The following is an 18,551-nucleotide window of genomic DNA, read 5'->3' on the forward strand; positions in this document are numbered from 1 at the left end:
TTAATGCTCGTCTTCCTGATTCTCCATTTTTCTGCTTGACCCCAACCTATGATCTTCTGTTCCCTCTGTGCAAGTTCCTCAGAGTCTCTTCAATCTAGCTGATAACTTTTCCCATAGGAATATTTGCTATGCTTAAATCACAGCATTTTCTTTGGGACAGATAGGCAATAAAGAGTAGTAAATGTGTCATCAGCTACCAGATGGATGAAGAAAGCATTTCCCTGAACTTTAATTCATCATTCATGTTCCAGTTTAAGACTTTTAAGGCAATAGTAACTTCAGGCTTCAGAGTCACAGCACATCTGTGGACACTGAGGGATAAAATGTTTCGTGTTTTGATGCTGAAGTGTATGCCTGGAGGCTCTCTGCTGTGAGCATTCTTGCCGGTTGAAAGAAGGAAGAAAAAAGTACATTTGGAACATTATCCAACATCTTGAGATTATGAACTGTCTGATGTGCTGATATTTTATCTGATGATGTCTCCTGGGTCTGCTGGTGGTGAAAGATTTTCCAGATTTGTGAAGTGTGATGAAAGGGCTGGTAGTATCTCATCCTGACTGGCAGAGCTAAAATGTAACTCTTCGACCTTCTGAACTTGAACACTTCTTTTCGAAGCTGTGAAATGTAAATCCACAGTAGCTGCTGACCTTAGACATTTTTGCTTTTCCCTGGAGCTTTGGCTTTTCTTTTGTAATTAAGACTAGTTGATAACCTTCAATACTAAGAAACTGACCACTTCTCATTACTCCAGAGATGGATGGTGACTTCATCTTTCCATATAATTGATTTTGTAGAACAAAAACCAAAAGAGGGGCTAAGCAGTTTTGAAGTGCCCTAACAAAATAAGTCATAATGCATCTCACACTTTGAGGACAGTGATTTGCACATTGTAGTTGCTCAGTCAAATCTGGTGCACTTGGGAAGTAAATGACTCACCTGGGCTGAAGCCTATCTTTCTGAGGATGCAGGGAGGGTTTACCAAGTAAATCAGTGTATAAATAGGATCAATTGTAAGAATTTCATTTGAATACAACTGGCATATGTGTTAAACTTAAATGCCCCATTATTCATGAAAGTGGGCCCAGAAATTCTTCTTGGTAGTGCATTATAGGTAACTGGATGGAGTTAAAGACTTAGAGATTGTCATTGTGGCTGCTTGTAGTAGCCTCCATAGTTATAACAGAAGAGGCAGACACCTCTCTCATCACCCTGGCATCCTAGAAATCAGTGAAACCTCACAGTGAAAGCATGCAGGTATTTTTAGCAAGTAGGCATGGTCACACCACCTGTCTGTTGGTCACAATCCAGTAAGCCAACACCTTACTCGAAAGGCTTACTCAGAGGGGTGCGATGAGATTCTCTGCTGGTTTTGGCAAGCCATGTAGTCACCTGTGGTGGTTTCTGTATTTGGAAGAACAGGAAAGCAGAAGTTGGGCTCCACACTGCCCCTTTGATAGACTGTAGAGATGGCTGTTGTTTTAAGCCATATTCATGTTCAGGCAGTGGATTCTATTTAACACTGTTAACCAACCACAAGTCTTAAGTGCCACTGTTTTTGCCAAACGAAACCAAATCTAAGCATGCAGCCTGTGTTACCACCCTCTGGGTGCTGATTCCGATTGTTTTCATATCTCATACTGAAGTATTTCAAATTATCAGAAATCCAATATGAAAATAATAAAGGTTTCTGTTCTTGGATACATTCCTAATTCAGCATTTATAATACTTTACACTGGATTTTATTCTAGTTAGTGGAAACAATGTTCCTAATGTTGAAAAAACCCACAAAAATGCCAATGATGCAAATCTATTTACAAGTACTATCTAGTGTATTTTTTTTTAAAAAAAAATTCAGTAAACTTCAGAAGTTACCTTTTTAAAGAAAAAATTTATCTTAAATTCTATTTGAGGAAAGGCTGTGAATTTATCAATTTGTGTATCATATGACTGAATTACAGGAATGTTACTCTAGTTATATAATCATAAAACATGTTCTAGATATACCATAGTGTATATTTTGATCAGCAAGTCTAGAATTAGGTGACTTCCTTTAGTTGGTTCAATAGCCTTGCAGGACTTTTCTCATAAACTTAGAGGATAGGACAGTGTGAGAATCGCCAAGAAGCTCTTGGGCTCTGGAGTCAGCCCTGGGTTTGGATTCTGATTCCACATTTGCTGTGGTGATGGGCAAGTTATATAACCTCTCTAAGCTCTGATTTCTTCACAGGTCAATGGAGATGATGACCATACCTAACTCATTCAATGCAAAATACTCACTTCATGACTTGGTACAAAGTAGGATTCAGTAAACCATGTGGGTGTCCTCCTTCCTTTTCTTACAAAGACAAGATTGTTTGGCTATAGATGACTTGCAGTGGTTAGAGTGACAGAGTGAACTTACACAGATTATGGTAGCTGAACAGTTAATTAAAATTGCTGCCAGAAACTTCATCCACAGATGTTCTCAACCTTGGCTGCATGTTGGATCATCTGCAGACCTTTTAAAAAATCCTGATACCTGAGATTCTTTAATCAACTTGGGATTCAGATTGACAATAGAATTTTTGAAATCTTCCTATGTGATTCTAAGATGTGAGGAAAGAATGGCTGCTTTATAGCAACAACCATATCCTAAAGGTTGTTCTGTTTTAGAGTTTAAAAGTGCAAGAATTATCTTGGAGGAAAAGCTTTCCTAAGAAAGTTCTTGCTCACCAGGAGTTTGCCTGCTGGCCAAATTCAGCCAATCACCTGTTTTTCTGAATAAATGTTATTGGAACATATCCATGCTCATCTGTTCATATATGGCCGTTTTCATACTCCAGCAGCAGAGCCAAAGAGTTGCCACAGAGAACCTGTGACCCATGAAGCCTAAAATATTACTTTCTGGTCTTTCATAGAAAATGTTTCTGACCTGCCGGGCACGATGGCTCACACCTGTAAACTCAGCACTTTGGGAGGCCAAGGTGGGTGGATCACTTGGGGTCAAGAGTTCAAGACCAGCCTGGCCAACATGATGAAACCCCATCTCTACTAAAAATACAAAAATTAGCCAGGCGTGGTGGCACACGCCTGTAATCCCAGCTACTCGGGAGGCCAAGGCAGGAGAATCACTTGCACCTGGGAGGCAGAGGTTGCAGTGAGCAGAGATCGTGCCACTGCACTCCACCCTGGGTGACAGAGTGTCTCAAAAAAAAAAAAAAAAAAAGAAAGAAAATGTTTCTGACTTGACACTTATAGACCATTTACCACTTGAATTGTGATGCCATTTTCCAAAATGCATTCAAGAAAGTCAACTCAGTACAGAGAAATATTTCCTAGATTCTGTTCAAGTTTGTCCTTTTATTAAAAAAAATGAAATATTAAGGAAAATCTTTCTCAAACCATGTTTTTATTCTGCTCTGACACCAAAAAAAACAATAAGCACAGAAGAAGACTTTTGTGACCAAATGTGGGGGATGAGTTTCGTTCCACCACCAAGTGAACAATCAGTTCTATAGCAGACACTAGGTGGGTGTCCTCCCAATTCAATTCTGATGCTATCTACCTGGAGGTAGCATCAGATCCCATAGGTTGAGGGCCCATTCCCCAAAACTACCCCCTTCTTCAGACACCAGTGGCAAGTCTGGGCCTCTGGAACTTGTGAATGACCAGCTTCAAGTTGGAGTTCCCATGACCCCTCTTTGGGTTTGATTAATTTGCATTTCACTGAACACTTCACTGTACTCAGGGAAGTGTTTACTAATTTATTATAAAGGATATTATGTTACAAAGGATACAGATGAAGATATGCATAGGGCGAGGTATGGGGGAAGGCATGCATAGCTTCCATGGCCTCCCTGGGCATGCCACCCTCCAGAAACGTCCACATACTCAGCTATCCAGAAGCGTTCCTAACCCTGTCTTTTTGGATTTTTATGGAGGCTTCATTACATAGGCATGATTGACAACCCTGTAGAAATATGACTGGACAAAAAGGGGTATGATCTAAGCCCAGCAAAGCCGGTTTGTTCTGTTTTTTCTTAGCCTCTTTATAGAGCATTCCTGGCTTCAGGGTATGGGGCAGGACCTCCTCTGGAATGACAGTCTTATGACTGCAGTCAGATTAGAGTCCTGCTTTAGGCAGGTGAAAGGAGGGCAGGAGAAGGTCAGAGAGATTGTTTTCTGAGGCCTAAAGCATCCCAACATTATAACAAGGACTGTGGAAGTTAATGAGCCAGGAACATGGATGAAAACCAGTATAGCACAAGGGTAGCTAGCATTATACTCAAGTCAACAATAATATGCCATAATGCAGTAAGTAACCACTCTTGCTACTTTTTTTTGAGACTTGCCTATTTCAGAACAGAGAACAGTTCTTAACATTTCTCCTTAAATTTCAAATTTGAAGAAATTTTGGTAATCTGCTTATCAAAGAAGTTTACCATAGGACCCTCTGACATAACTCCCTGGCTAAAAACAGAAAACTGGAGTGTTGCTCATCATCAGATGTCCTTCATCAGCCATGAATGCCTTTAAATGATGCTAGCAGTTGAGAGCATTGTAAAGCATCTTCTGCTCTGTTTTCAAGTCTTTTTTAAAAAGTTCTCAGCAGCTCGGTGCAGCGGCTCATGCCTGTAATCCCAGCACTTTGGGAGGCCAAGGCAGGGGATCTCTTGAGGTCAGGAGTTCGAGACCAGCCTGGCCAAAATGGTGAAACCCTGTCTCTACCAAAAATTTAAAAAATTAGTCGGGCGTGGTGGCGGGTGCTTGTAATCTCAGCTACCCAGGAGGCTGAGGCAGGAGAATCGCTTGAACCCGGGAGGCGGAGGTTGCAGTGAGCCGAGATTGTGCCGCTACACTCCAGCCTGGGTGACAAAGTGAGACTCCGTCTCAAAAAAAAAAGTTATTAGCAGAAGAGGATTCTTGCACATTTCCCTTCCTTGCTTATTCATAAAAATGGAGCCACTGCTGCCAGAGAAGTGACGAGGTGGTGCAGGGGCACCAGATCCCAGAGAAGACACTCAGCAACATCTTCACGGTTCTCTTCTGTCACCTTCCCTCCTTGGCCAAGCAGAATCAGGACCTCATTAGGAAATATATCCCCCGCCCCCTTGCCACTGTTAAATACAATGCTGTCTTTCTGAACCAGTTGGCAATTATGAATGGCATCCTGAAAAACCGTAAATGCTGCCATCCATTATGCTTTGTTGAGGAGGACCCTACTAGCATACAGCATCTAGGCACTTTCTTTGTGCTGTCTCAGCATCATAGTTGCTGATGGAAGCAGGAATGCTCATTAGCATTTTAAGAGATTTTAATAGAAATTGTTAGTTTGACAATAGAAATGGGACGGGTTTAATCTTGAATGCCATATTTGATCTCTCTGGTACTAATTCAATTCTTGCTTCAGTAAGAGAGTAATTCATTTACAGGAGACAAGGGAATATACACATTTTGCAAAGGAAATGATGAGAATTTTGCAAAGTCACAGCTTTATTTCCTCTGTTTTCATTGCTCTTTGTCTGCATGTCTCTCAGGGCACTGGGAATGCTTTGCCTTATATTTAACAATAGATGCTTCACAGTTGCCAGTGATCTGTCCAGAGATCTTACTGAATACTCAGCTTTTCTTCTACCTCTGGAAAGCCAAGCTTCATTAGTGGGAGGTCCAATGAACTGAATCACTAGCTGAGCGATTCAAACACAAGCTCAGATTTGTGCTGTAGCAAAATGGCTCCCTCTCACGGCTCTTCAGAGTCATTTGTAACCGTCAGCACCTATCCTGAAATGCAGAGGTTTCACTGAAGGTATTAAGCTTAGGTGCACCTATCCCTCCTCATAAGGTTGTAAACATCTGAGCAGTAATAATGATGTGTCTTCATCTTCTTATCCCTTAAAACAGCACAAGTCATTGCTGTAGATTTTACTGAGGAGTGAAGAGGGAGAAAGAAAATTGTCTGTGTCTAATTATGTTTCTCTGTTCAGCTGCACTATAATAAAACTATCCCCTTTATTTTTTCATGCTTTTTTCTTCTCTTTAGGAAAGGCTTATTTTCAAATAAACAAACATATTTGGTTAAGTAATTGGATAAGTCATCCCTGTTAACGCTACATAATTGTTTGTTTTAATGCTTGAGGCTTAACACCTTTTAAAAAATATTAATTTGACAGCTTTGAAAAATGTCCTTGCCCTTATTGTTTGCTAAGAAGCTGCATTTCCTGGTGTTTAGTGGAGGCTTTGTTAGGTACACTTGAAAGTGGCCCTTCGCTTGGCCCCATGCCATGCTCGCTGTTGCTCGCTCTCACTCTCGCTCTCTCTCTCGCTCTCTCTCTCCTCCCCCGCCCCCCCTCCCCCCACAACGAGGCCCCCTGTTCCTTCTGAGGCTCAAGGCTTCAGCCTAGGTGCCACTCTCTTTTAGTCACTGGAGACCAGGCTTCCATCACTTGTCCTGTTTCCTGGTCTCTTTCCCTGCTCCATGTCACCCGCAAATCCCAACATATGCCAGGTTTGTAATTGCTGAGCTATATAGGGGATCAGGGTAGGGTGGGAGTGAAGGTTTAATCAAATAAACATTGGGAAAATTACAATGGTTCACAGGAGCTCAACTGATAAACACTTCGATTAGTTACTGATCCACATGAAAATGTACATTGAAGTAGAAATGCCTGTGTTTCAGCCCCTCCTGATGTGATGAGTGTCCTTCACTCAGACAACACATCAGCTTGCAGTAAACCAGTGCTTACCCAAATTAGCTCAAGAAAGGGACTTGTTGTAGGACCATTACCTGCTTCCAGGACAGATGAACAAGCAGGCTTCATGGAGAGCAGGGACCCAGGTACAGGTCTTAGGACCTCAGCTGTGAGTGTGGGGACCTGCACTCTGCTCAAAGTCCTGAGGCCTAAGTGCTGGGAGAGGCGGTGGTTCCTGCCCACCATGCCTGACCCAGCTGCCTGTGGCCTGACCATGTGGGGCTGCGTTGCCCTGGGCTGTGAGATTTAAGACATGTGAGTCCACTGGTCACTGTCCACCATGCTTCCTGACCATTGATTTTCCACCTCCCCTGTTACTTTATTCTGGGGCAGGCAGTGATTAGCAGAGATCTTTTTATCTTCTGAGATACAACTTTCCAGAAAAATCATGTTCATATTTTTATTCCTATTAAGAATTTGGCTGGCCAGGCCAAATGGTGGTGCACGCCTGTAATCCCAGCACTTTGGGAGGCTGAGGCAGGCAGATGGCTTAAGCCCAGGAGTTCGAGACCAGCCTGGGAAACACAGTGAGACCCTGTCTCTACGAAAAATGCAAAAATTAGCTGGGTGTGATGGCGTATACCTGTAGTCCCAGCTACTTGGGAGACTGAGGTGGGAGGATCCCTTGAGCCTGGGAGGTGGAGATTGCAGTGAGCCAAGATTGCATCACTGCACTCCAGCCTGGGCAACAGAATGAGACCCTGTCTTTTATTTAGCAAAAGGTCTCTTATGGCCATTTACATTCAACAGTTCACAAACATTCTTTTTTTTTTTTTTTTTTTTTTTTTTTAAGAAGGAGTTTCGCTCTTGTTGCCTATGCTGGAGCACAGTGGTACGATCTCAGCTCACTGCAACCTCCACCTCCCAGTTCAAGCGATTCTTATGCCTCCCAGGTAGCTGGGATTACAGTCATGTGTCACCACGCCTGGGCGATTTTGTATTTTCAGTAGAGACGGGGTCTCACCATGTTGGTCAGGCTGGTCTCAAACTCTTCACCTCAGGTGATCCACCCGTCACGGCCTCCCAAAGTGCTGGGATTATAGGTGTGCACCACCGCACCAAGCCCACATTCTTAATCACTCATTTCAAGGTTCTGTGCTAGATGATTTAAGAAAAGGCACTGATAAACTAATATTGAGTTAGTGTTACGTGTCAGAGACAAAGTGATTTTACAGGGATAAGCTAATTTTTATTCTCTAGCAAATCTTTGAGTTGGGCACTGTTACTACCTCCATTTTTAGGGGAGAAAATGAAGACTTGGAAAGTTTAAGTAACTTTTGAAAGATAAAAGCAAATTGAATTATTGTAAGTATAAAACGCATCAGAACAAGTGGTGGGAAACACATTAGACAAGTAGGTAGGGGGACAGATCATGGCCCGAATGCCATGCTGAAGATTTTGGAGTTATTATGTTGGTAACAAAGACACACTGGGGTTTTTGAATCCTGGAGGTGATATCCCAGCTACTCTTAGGAAAAATTTCTCTGGCAATACTATGTGGAATGGGAGAGACTGAGAGTGACTAAAGAGGCCTTTGATGCAATGCCAAGTGAAGCCGGAGAAGGACTTGGACCAGGGTGGTGGCCGTGGGTGGGGAATGGAATAGAGAATGGTATGATTTTCTTTTAGGCTTTCCTTTTATGTCCCTTCTCTGGACCTTGTTTTTAAACACTGTAGCTTTTTAAACATTCTGCCATAGAGTGCTGTCGATTTGGAGTTGCCTTCAACTTTAGCAGCTGAAAATTAAACAGAACAACAAAAAAATTAAATTTTGAAAAATTGCAGTTGTCCATCAGTTGTCATTTATCATGAGGAAATAAAATGATTAAACTCCTAGGAGTCACATGGTTAGCCTGGAACCATTAGAATTATCTATAGTTCTAAGCCTTATTGTGCCACTAATAACTATCTTATCCAGCTATCATGCCATAGAGTCTTTTGATTCCTTTTATGGAAGTAAAAAATAACATAATTTCAAAAAAAGGTAACTGATGATTTTTCTTATGTCTAATCTGAATGAAATATCTAAGGAAGAAATGCACTGATGTGATGTGCATAAGGAGAGAGGTGAGATGAGAAGAAAGGGAACGCCTCCTCGGTTTCTGTGACACATTTTTACATTCTGTAAGCATTTTGTGTGTCAACGGATTAGTTAGCTAGGGATTTGTAAATTATCCTGATAAATAATGGTCATTCTCCTCTTTCAGCAGATTTCTGCTCATGGCAGATCTTCTTCCAATGTAAACGGTGGACCTGAGCTTGACCGTTGCATAAGTCCTGAAGGTAGTTCTCAGTCTGATCATTACTTTGATAAAGGAAATCATGCATGGGGACTTGGTGCTCACCTAAAACTCACTTGTGCTAAATTACGATCTTCCTAAAGAGGGATGTGATCACATCACCTGTCAGCCCCTTTGGCCTTAGTAAGAGGCGGGGATGGGGGTTACTTCAAGATAAAGAAAAATCTCATTGTCATTAACTAGGTTATTGAAGCTTCAGATTTTAGACTTGGGCTTCTTTTATTTTTGTGGTGATCTGATCACAACTTCTAAATATATTTCCTTTCTCTCAATTAGATAACAAAACTGTGTTTTCTTGATTTGGTGTCTTCTGTGTGCTGGACACTGGGACATGTAGTGAGAAGTGGGCAGATCTTAACCCTTCCCCCACATACCTTTTTGAGAAAGCTTTGAGCCAGGAATTAGCCTTAACAAGGCATCTATCTTATCTGGGTAGAATTTTCTCTACTAGAAAATGTTGAAGAGAAATCTTGGACATTTTGAAGATTAAATTCCCACCACCATCCTCTTCTCCTTTCTTTGTTTTTTTTTTTTTTCTTTTTCTATCATCTTATATCCCCTGCCCCTTTCTTGAACATCGACAAAAAAGTTTGGATAAGTTTTAGTGAAATATCCTTTTTACCTAAGGCTAATCACTTATTTCACCTGATATCTCAGGGATTTGTTAGGTTTATTGATTATAGGTTTCTGATTTCAACCAACGAAGTTAAAAGGAAATTGGTGATTCAGGTGTTCTATTCAGGAAATGTGTGCAGATATTTTATTTAGTTTCACCATAGATTTAGAAATAAATGCATCGCAGTTTACTATTTTACAAATATGTAGGAATCTGTATAAAATGCTGATGTTTTCTTTAGAATTTGCATTTATCCTTTTTGCAGGTGTGAATGGAAACAGATGCTCTGAATCATCAACTCTTCTTGAGAAATACAAAATTGGAAAGGTCATTGGTGATGGCAATTTTGCAGTAGTCAAAGAGTGTATAGACAGGTGAGTGGACAGTGAGGATAATTAATGAATAATGAAAATGATAAATAATGAAAACTGTATCATCTACAGATACAGTTTTCCTTGGAGTTTATTCTTAATTTTAAAAAGGCCCTTCTGGAAAGTCTCTTTCATTTTCCCTGAGTCTGCCCTTGGGACCAGCCATTTCTTTCCTTTTGTTGTTTGTTTGTTTGTTTATTTATTTATTTATTTATTTATTTAAAAAAAAGGCAGGGTCTCACTCTGTTACCCAGGCTAGAGTGCAGTGGCACCATCATAGTTCACTGCAGCCTCAATCTGCAGGGTGCCAGTGATTCTCCCACCTCAGCCTCCCAGCTAATTTTTAAATTTTTAATAGAGACAGGGTCTTGCTTTGTTGCCAGGCTGGTCCTAGGCTCCTTGCTTCAAACAGTCCTCCTGTCTTGGCCTACTGAAGTGCTGGAATTACAGGCATGAGTGACTGTATCCAGCAGGGATCAGCCATTTTGCATGCCCACAGGAAAAAAATATTATGTATATACATAGAGTATAAAACTGTTTTATGTGCATTTGGGATGAGATATATATAAGGTCTCATCATGAGCCAGAGAGGAATGAGAAGAATAAGTCATTTTTAAGAACATCTCCTATATTTACCGGTGTCAGGCATTGTTCTCAGTCTGTACTTGTATTAAATCGCTTAATCCCTACAGCAATCCTCCCTCTCAGTTAATACTTAATGGAATATTCCAGTAGTTCAGGACATATGAGCTCTGACTCTGTTTAAGATCACAATCAGGCCAGGCCTGGTGGCTAGCTCACACCTGTAATCCCAGCACTTTGGGAGGCTGAGGTGTGTGGATTACATGAGGCCAGGAGTTCAAGACCAGCCCAGCCACCATGGTGAAACCCCATCTCTACAAAAAACAAGACAAACAAAAAAAAAAACAAAAAAAATTCCAGGTTGGGTGGCACACGCCTGAAGTCCCAGCTACTCGGGAAGCTGAGGCACGAGAATCACTTGAAGCTGGAAGGCAGAGGTTGCGGTGAGCCGAGATCGTGCCATTGCACTTCAGCCTGGGCAACAGACCAAGACTGTGTCTCAAAAAAAAAAAAAAAATCACAATCAGCCTACTTTTGCCTATTCCAGATTTTTTATAAACAATATTCAAACCAGAAAAGACTCAGAGTCTTGGTTCAGATTAGAGTCTTGGTGTTTATAGGCTGCTATCCTTCCCATTCTAAGTGATAATTTTTATCATTTCTGGAGATTTTTCCAGAAAGTTTTGGTAACTACAGTTTTTCTGTTTTGTTACATCTCCAGTGAAGCTTTAGTACTCCTTATATTGGTACACAAGATAATGCCTTGTTCTCTGAGTCCTTTTACCCAGTTCTTATACACAGACTGCCACCTAAGTAACAAAGTAAGCATCTAAAGTATGACTTTTAAAGACTAGTCAGAAATCTGAGGCAGGATTTAGTTTTTGTTATAGGGAGAACAATTTAAGGACAAGTGATTCTTCCAAGCCAGGCCTCATGAGTGTGTACTACAACCACCTGGCAAATCCAGCTGCACTTGAGATAACAAGTGTATTCTATGAGTACTGTGGTGTTCTTTATTGAATGCTTTTTCTATACTCAAAGACATTTTTGGCATGTTAAAATTAAATTATTTTAAAGGTGATTAAAAATTAAATAATGGCTGGACACAGTGGCTCACGCCTGTAATCCCAGCACTTTGGGAGGCCGAGGCGGGAGAATCACCTGAGGTCAGGAGTTCAAGACCAGCCTGGCCAACATGGTGAAACCCATCTCTACTAAAAATACAAAAATTAGCCCAGTGGTGTTGGCAGGTGCCTGTAATCCCAGCTCCTTGGGAGGCTGAGGCGACAGAATTGCTTGAACCTGGGAGGCGGAGGATGCAGTGAGCCAAGATTGCGCCATTGCACTCCAGCCTGGCTGACAGAGCAAGACTCTCTCTCAATAAATAAATAAATAAATAAATAAATAAATAACATCAAGATTCTTATATCCATGCGAATGATCTCTCTAGTGCCAGGAAAGAACATTTAAAGATGTGACTAACTTGGTACCAGATCAGATCCTAGCTGAAGTTTTGGCTGAGAAATAATGAAAGTCAGGGGACTTTTCACTTTTGAATTATGGGCTAATGTTGTTAATGGACTAATGTAAAAATATATTGATAATAAAATTTTCTGTTAATTTGGTTTTTTAAAACTTTATTCTGTCTCCTAAGAGAACTATTTTGAGATTTACATATAGAAAAACTATTTCCTGCCTCTCCCTGATGTAACAGAATTGAAATACTTTAAATATGAGTTTCTTAATATTATAGTTAATATTTATGAAAGAATATTTAATTAACATACAGTATGGCTTTGTTTTTGTTTTTAATTTTTTGGGTACCTTTGTCCCCTGACTCCACTAGATATTTTCTTTAATGCACAGAGAAAGAGCCAAGTTTTTCCTTCCTGGGTCTGTGCTGTAGAATACAACAGGAATGGGCCAGGTGTGGTGGCTCACGCCTGTAATCCCAACACTTTGGGAGGCTGAGACAGGAGGATCAGTTGAGCCCAGGAGTTCAAGACCAACCTGGGCAACATAATGAGATCTCATCTCTACAAAAAAAAAAAAAATTAAAGTATAAAAAAGAAAGAAAACAGGAATGATGGTATTTAATTTATGTCTTTAAATGGTCTTCCTCTGATTATTCCATAGGTCCACTGGAAAGGAGTTTGCCCTAAAGATTATAGACAAAGCCAAATGTTGTGGAAAGGTATAGTATGCATAACCCCTAGTTCTGAAAGAAACTAGAGTAACTTGGTGAGGTGTTTACTGTGATGAAGGAATTTAAGTGGGGACTTGACACAACTATCACAGCAGGAGTAGAGACCAGTAATAGTGGGAAAAACAGTTAAGCGGTTTTATTCCTGCTATTTTTCAGAAACTTTAATCCTAAAACAGTAAATTGATTTGATCTTGGTCCTAACTAGAAAACGTAGATTCTTTTCTCTGGGAGATACCTATTTTAACACCCAACAATACTCAAAAGGTGCGTCAAGAACTCTGAGGGACCTGGGACTTTACTTGCAAGCTAACAAAGCCTTCCAGCTTCATACAGGCCAGCAGAACACAAGATTTCTGAGTCAGAGACAAAAGGATTTGTTATTCCTGACACAGCAGGTAGCATGAGCTTCATGCTTGCATTGGTTCCCCTTAACTCCCAAGTCCCATAGTGGTGAGGCTGAGGAGCCCAGCTGGATGATTTACACACAGTGGGTTTATGTCATAGCTGGGGAACTCTGAGCTTAGGAAACCCTCAGTCTTAGGAGGAGGTGCTAGCAATGCTGCCCAGTCTTTGCCTCAGAGGAGAATATTATTTTCATTATCCTGGTCAGGAAACACATCTGCCGTTTGCCCGTAAGGGAGACTCATCTTTGTGTTCCAAGGGTGTTTCCTGGACAAACATCCTTGGAAAGATAGTTTGGAACAGAAGCTGATGCATCATGAGCAGAAATGCTGTGAAGAATCATCTCCTCAATAAGATAAACTTTTTTCCTTCTGTCCCACTCTCTAACTGGGGTTGGGAAAAGATCAACCAATAAAATGCTGCTGCAGTTACTGATACTTTAACTATGTTTGAAAAAATAAATATTCCGTTGCAGCAATGACAAAGACCTTTTTAGATTCCATTGTGGTAACACATCAATTAAGAGAACAAGCTGTAGAGCTACATCGTTCAACACCAGAGCTACCAGTCACGTACAGCTACAAAGCACTTGAATGTAGCGAGTCTGGATTGAAATAGGCTGCTAAGTATAAAATACACACCAGATTTTGAAGACTTAGTACTAAAAAAAGAATGTGAAATACCTCATTAATATCTTTGTATATGATCACATGTTGAAATGAAAATATTTGGATATATTAAGTTATAATTTTAAAAACCTTGCTTTTTAATGTGGTTCTTGGTTAGAATTACGTATATGGATCATGGTGTATATTTATGCTGGACACTGCTGCTCTAGAGCCAGATTCTATAAAGTGTATTCCTGGCCCTGCCTCTTCTTGGAAAATTTATTTAACCCCTCTATTTCTTCCTTTAAAATGTGGTTATTATCGACACCTAGAACATAAGATTATTGTGAAAATTGGTTGAATTAAGCCATGGAAAACAGAGAAGTGCTAGTATATAATAAGAATTCAACACATGTTAACTGCTAACATTATTAATATGCCAGAGGAGTTTAGAATTTATAATTAGCAGGATTTGATCTGATAGTTGTCATTTTATAGTTATGGAACCCCTAAACTGGTCTTCATTGGACTTCTACAAAATAGTGTATTTTTAACAGGAAATGTAAAATATTCTGCTCGAATGGTTTAGAAAAATCTTCTCAGAACTCCAGAATGGAAAATCCAGGAGGCAAATTTGTCATTTACTTTTTTTTTTTTTTTTAACCACACTGTGATAATTACTGAAGCATAGACTGCATAGACTGTGCAAAATGCCCCTTTTCCTTTGAATAAGGTTTTCTTTTGCTTAATTTTCTTTAAATAATTTGATATGCTTTTACTTATTGTTCTAGCGATATTACTAATGTTTTTCACTGTAATAGCCTTTTCTCCATACATGTAAGGGTTCTGCTTTCGATGTGGTGGTGTGTGATTTAAGCAGAACGTATCATAATTTGGTGAGCCAGGTTCTGTAGAACTACATTAAAAATTTTTTCAAAACAGTAAAAAAAAAATAAAAAGGTGCTATGGTAAGGATATGGTTTACGTGATTAAAATTTAAACAGCTGTTTCCATGGTTGGAAAAAAAAGGTCTTTGTATGCAAAAAATTTACACTAAGGGCTGAGGCAAATGGATAAGTCAGTTCTAACATTTGAATCTTATTTTTTCTAGTCTGTGAATGTCATTCTATTTTTATAATGCATGATCAAATATTTTTCCACTTTTACATTTTGCTTATCTAAACAACTATTTCCACATTAAGACTATACAAAATTATAATTTTAAAACTTGATTAGTTACAAATAAGTTGATTTTTCCCATTACATTTTATTTTTAGAAAAAAATTATATAGAGAATTTTTGTTAATTTGAGGGGGTGGTATTCAGTCACTGTTTTGGAGTGTTGGCCACCTCTGCTATATACAGAAAATTAATAATGCTGAAAATAATATCTGCTATTTGTTAAAATGTATTATTTATCCAGGCTTGGATATATAGGAACTTTGCACATTACCTTTAATGACTTGCAAAACAGATGCGCCAGTTTTACAGATAAGGAAACAGACTCAGATTAAATAGCTTCCAAAAAAGTCACACAGAGACTGACCTGTGACTGGAATTTTGGGCTGTTTGGTTACACAGCCTGTACATTGGCTGATCTACTGTGTTCCCTCTCTAAGTTCAATTTATTCATTTCTTCAGGTAATACAAACTTGGGAAACATTCTTACTCTCCCTCACCTTCTGTTTGTTCATCCTTAATATACACAGGCATTGTTAGATTCATGTATTCACCTAAATTTTGGTGCATATTCTGTCTGCAAGACACTGTGCTAAGAATAGGGTGATGTATAAATTAATACCAGTTCTGCAAAGAATGTTGGAGTTCAGGGGAAGCACGTGGGAGAGAAGTAGGTGACCAGTGAAGATGCTATAGAGGAAGAAGCATTTGGGCTGGAGCAGGAACAGTGGGTAGGGAGGGTTTCAGTAGGCAGCAATCAAAGAGCGGTCTACCAGGTGGTGAGAACAGTCTGAGCAAAGGCCCAGAGGACAGAAAGCACGTTGGGCCCTTCTAAGTAGGAGATTATTACAAGAGCTGCGTTGGGGCCAGATTTATAGAGGCTTTTGAGAATGCTATGGTATTTATAAATTTAAGAATTCTTCCAGTTCTAATATTCTCTTTCATGCTAAATAAATATCTATTGAATTCCCACAGTGTACAAAGCTCTGAGCTTTCTGTTCTGGTGCTTAGAAGTGGTCCTTCTTTGTCTTCCTACTGTATACAGTTTTGCATTCATCATCTACATGGGCCCAGGCAGGACATAAATCCAGAAGTGTATTTGGAAGTATTCGTTTCCCCAGGCTGTGGGAATAAATTACCACAAACTTGGTGGCTTAAAACACCTAAAAATTACTCTCTTCACAGTTCAGGAGGCTGAGAGTCCGAAATCCATGCTTCCTTTGGGGGTTTTGGGGAGAATCTGTTCCTTGCCTGCAAGCATCCAGTGACCAGCAGTATTCTTGGGTTGTGATCATATCCCACCAGTCTCTGCCTCCGTCTTCACGCTGCCTTCTTCTCTGTCTGTGTGAAACTTCCCTGTGCTTCTCTAGGAACATTTGTAGTGGCATTTAACCCTCTCCCCGCCACAATCCAGGGTTATCTCTCCACTGCAGAACCCTTCATCACATCTGCAGAACTCTTTTCCCAAGTAAGGTAATATTTGCAAGTTGCAGGGATTAGGACTTGATGTCTTTGTGTATCCATTATTCAGTCTGTTGCGTATATTTATCACAGAAATCACGTGGTGATTTGTACATTTTCTCTCTCTCACCACTTTCTCCTCAGCAGTGTGCTCCGAGCAACACAGACACCAGCTGTGAAGCCATTGTGGGCAGCACAGTGCGTGATGTGTCTACTCCTTCACGTGAACACTTTGGTACCTACTGTTTGTTAGTAACTGTGCTAGTTGCTGGAGAGTGAGGTAACCAAAACCTCCACAAGCTCTCAGTTCCAGAGGGTTAGAGACCAGCACACAAACAGTTGAAAGATGGTGGGATGAGAGCTGTGATTCGGGGCTATGAGAGCAGGTGAGAGGACTACCTGACCCAGCTGTGAGTGAGCAGGGGAGGTGACTTAGAAGAGGAGAGATCTAATCTGGTCCCGAGAAGTATATAGGAGTTTGCCAAGAAGTAGATAAAGAAAGTTCCAGATAAAACTATGGCTGGGGCCGGGCGCGGTGGCTCACGCCTGTAATCCCAGCACTTTGGGAGGCCGAGGCGGGTGGATCATGAGGTCAGGAGATCGAGACCATCCTGGCTAACAAGGTGAAACCCCGTCTCTACTAAAAATACAAAAAATTAGCCAGGCGCGGTGGCGGGCGCCTGTAGTCCCAGCTACTCGGGAGGCTGAGGCAGGAGAATGGCGTGAACCCGGGAAGCGGAGCTTGCAGTGAGCCGAGATTGCGCCACTGCAGTCCGCAGTCCGGCCTGGGCAACAGAGCGAGACTCCGTCTCAAAAAAAAAACAAAAAAAAAAACTATGGCTGGAATGGTGGCTCATGCCTGTAATCCCAGCACTTTGGGAGGCTGAGGTGGGAGGATTCCTTGAGCCCAGGAGTTCGAGACCAGCCCTGGCAATATAGTGAGACCCCATTTCTGCAAAAAAATAATTAACTGGGTGCACACCTGTGGTCCCAGCTACTCAGGAGGCTGAGGCGGGAAGATTGCTTGAGCCTGGGAGGTTGAGGTTGCAGTGAGCTGGGATCACACCACTGCATTCCAGCTTGGGTGACAGAGTGAGCCTCTTCTCAAAAAAAGAAAACTACCTGTGCAAATGCCTAGAAGTCTAGGTAAGGGATTGGCAAGAGGAACAGAGAGAACTGAATGGATGAATGGATGGATTCAGAGGCCACCAAGGAGGTAAATGGGCAGACATTGGTGATTGTGGGTATATTATCCACCCGAAAGGAGGAATCGGTGCAATTCCTGTTTCTGCTTGGGACAGCCAGGTTTGTTGAATAAGATGGAGAACACAGAGGAAAGGACTGCTTTATGGGCTGGGATGGGTTGAGACAAGATGATTAGTCTGGTTTGAGAGAGTTGTTTTGTCTCCTATTATACCCCCCCATTCCTCTCTCTTTGTACGTTAAAAATCACCATGTCCAAAGATAAGGCAGTGTCCTTTGCCAAGTTAGCAGTTTTGTCATTTACTCTCACTCAGAACTGTGGAACACTGCCATGAAATGATTCATATGTAAATTATTTGGAGTTAGAATCATGAATCACTTAACATATATAATGGTAGATAATTGAATAATGTAAGTTCAGTATGGCTCAAGACAAAAGAGATATTCATATTATATTTAGAAATATTCTCTTGGAAAATTTAGTCTAGAGAGCATTTTTTACATATTAGAAACAAAGACTACATACAGGTTGCACAAGAAATAGATAACGTTTGTAACGATTTTTATGCAGTACTTTATTTTGCTTCTGATGATGATTAGTTTCAAAAGTGGATTGTTCCTTCATAGACAATTTTACAGGGACAGCAAGAGGTTGAGAAAGGCTAACAGCTCCCATGTTTTAACAAAAACATTCACTCTGTGCTTAGAATATTAGCCATTGTCAAGTAGAATTCAGTAGGCTAATAAGTGGTGGAGGAAATGTTGCTGCAGTATTTGAAAGGTAACACTGCTGATGGCCCTTAGGAGAAGTTCCACAATGTATCCCAGAAGACCTTCTGTTGTGCCTTTTATTGAAAAAGATAATAACTTTTGGGAGTTGTAGTCTCCTTATGTG

General features: G+C 40.6%; 1 protein-coding gene across 13 annotated transcripts in view; it reads left to right on the plus strand.

Annotated features, from left to right (window-relative positions):
- DCLK2 (doublecortin like kinase 2) overlaps positions 1-18,551 on the plus strand; it is a 178,994-nt gene that overhangs the window by 133,323 nt on the left and 27,120 nt on the right. For 7 of the 13 annotated variants that reach the window (XR_007096380.1, XM_017007832.3, NM_001040261.5 and 4 more), the window contains 3 exons: positions 8,936-9,011; positions 9,910-10,018; positions 12,734-12,791. Coding sequence is in view for 11 of the 13 variants with exons in the window: in XM_017007832.3 (XP_016863321.1) it covers positions 8,936-9,011; positions 9,910-10,018; positions 12,734-12,791 (243 nt within the window). In the remaining 2 variants the exon portion in view is untranslated. Of the gene's footprint in view, positions 1-8,935; positions 9,012-9,909; positions 10,019-12,733; positions 12,792-18,551 lie in introns of those variants that run through there. The other 6 variants (NR_036614.2, XM_005262785.4, NM_001410852.1 and 3 more) reach the window with 3 other exon arrangements.

This window comes from Homo sapiens, chromosome 4 (assembly GCF_000001405.40).
Source record: "Homo sapiens chromosome 4, GRCh38.p14 Primary Assembly".
Classification (NCBI taxonomy): domain Eukaryota; kingdom Metazoa; phylum Chordata; class Mammalia; order Primates; family Hominidae; genus Homo; species Homo sapiens.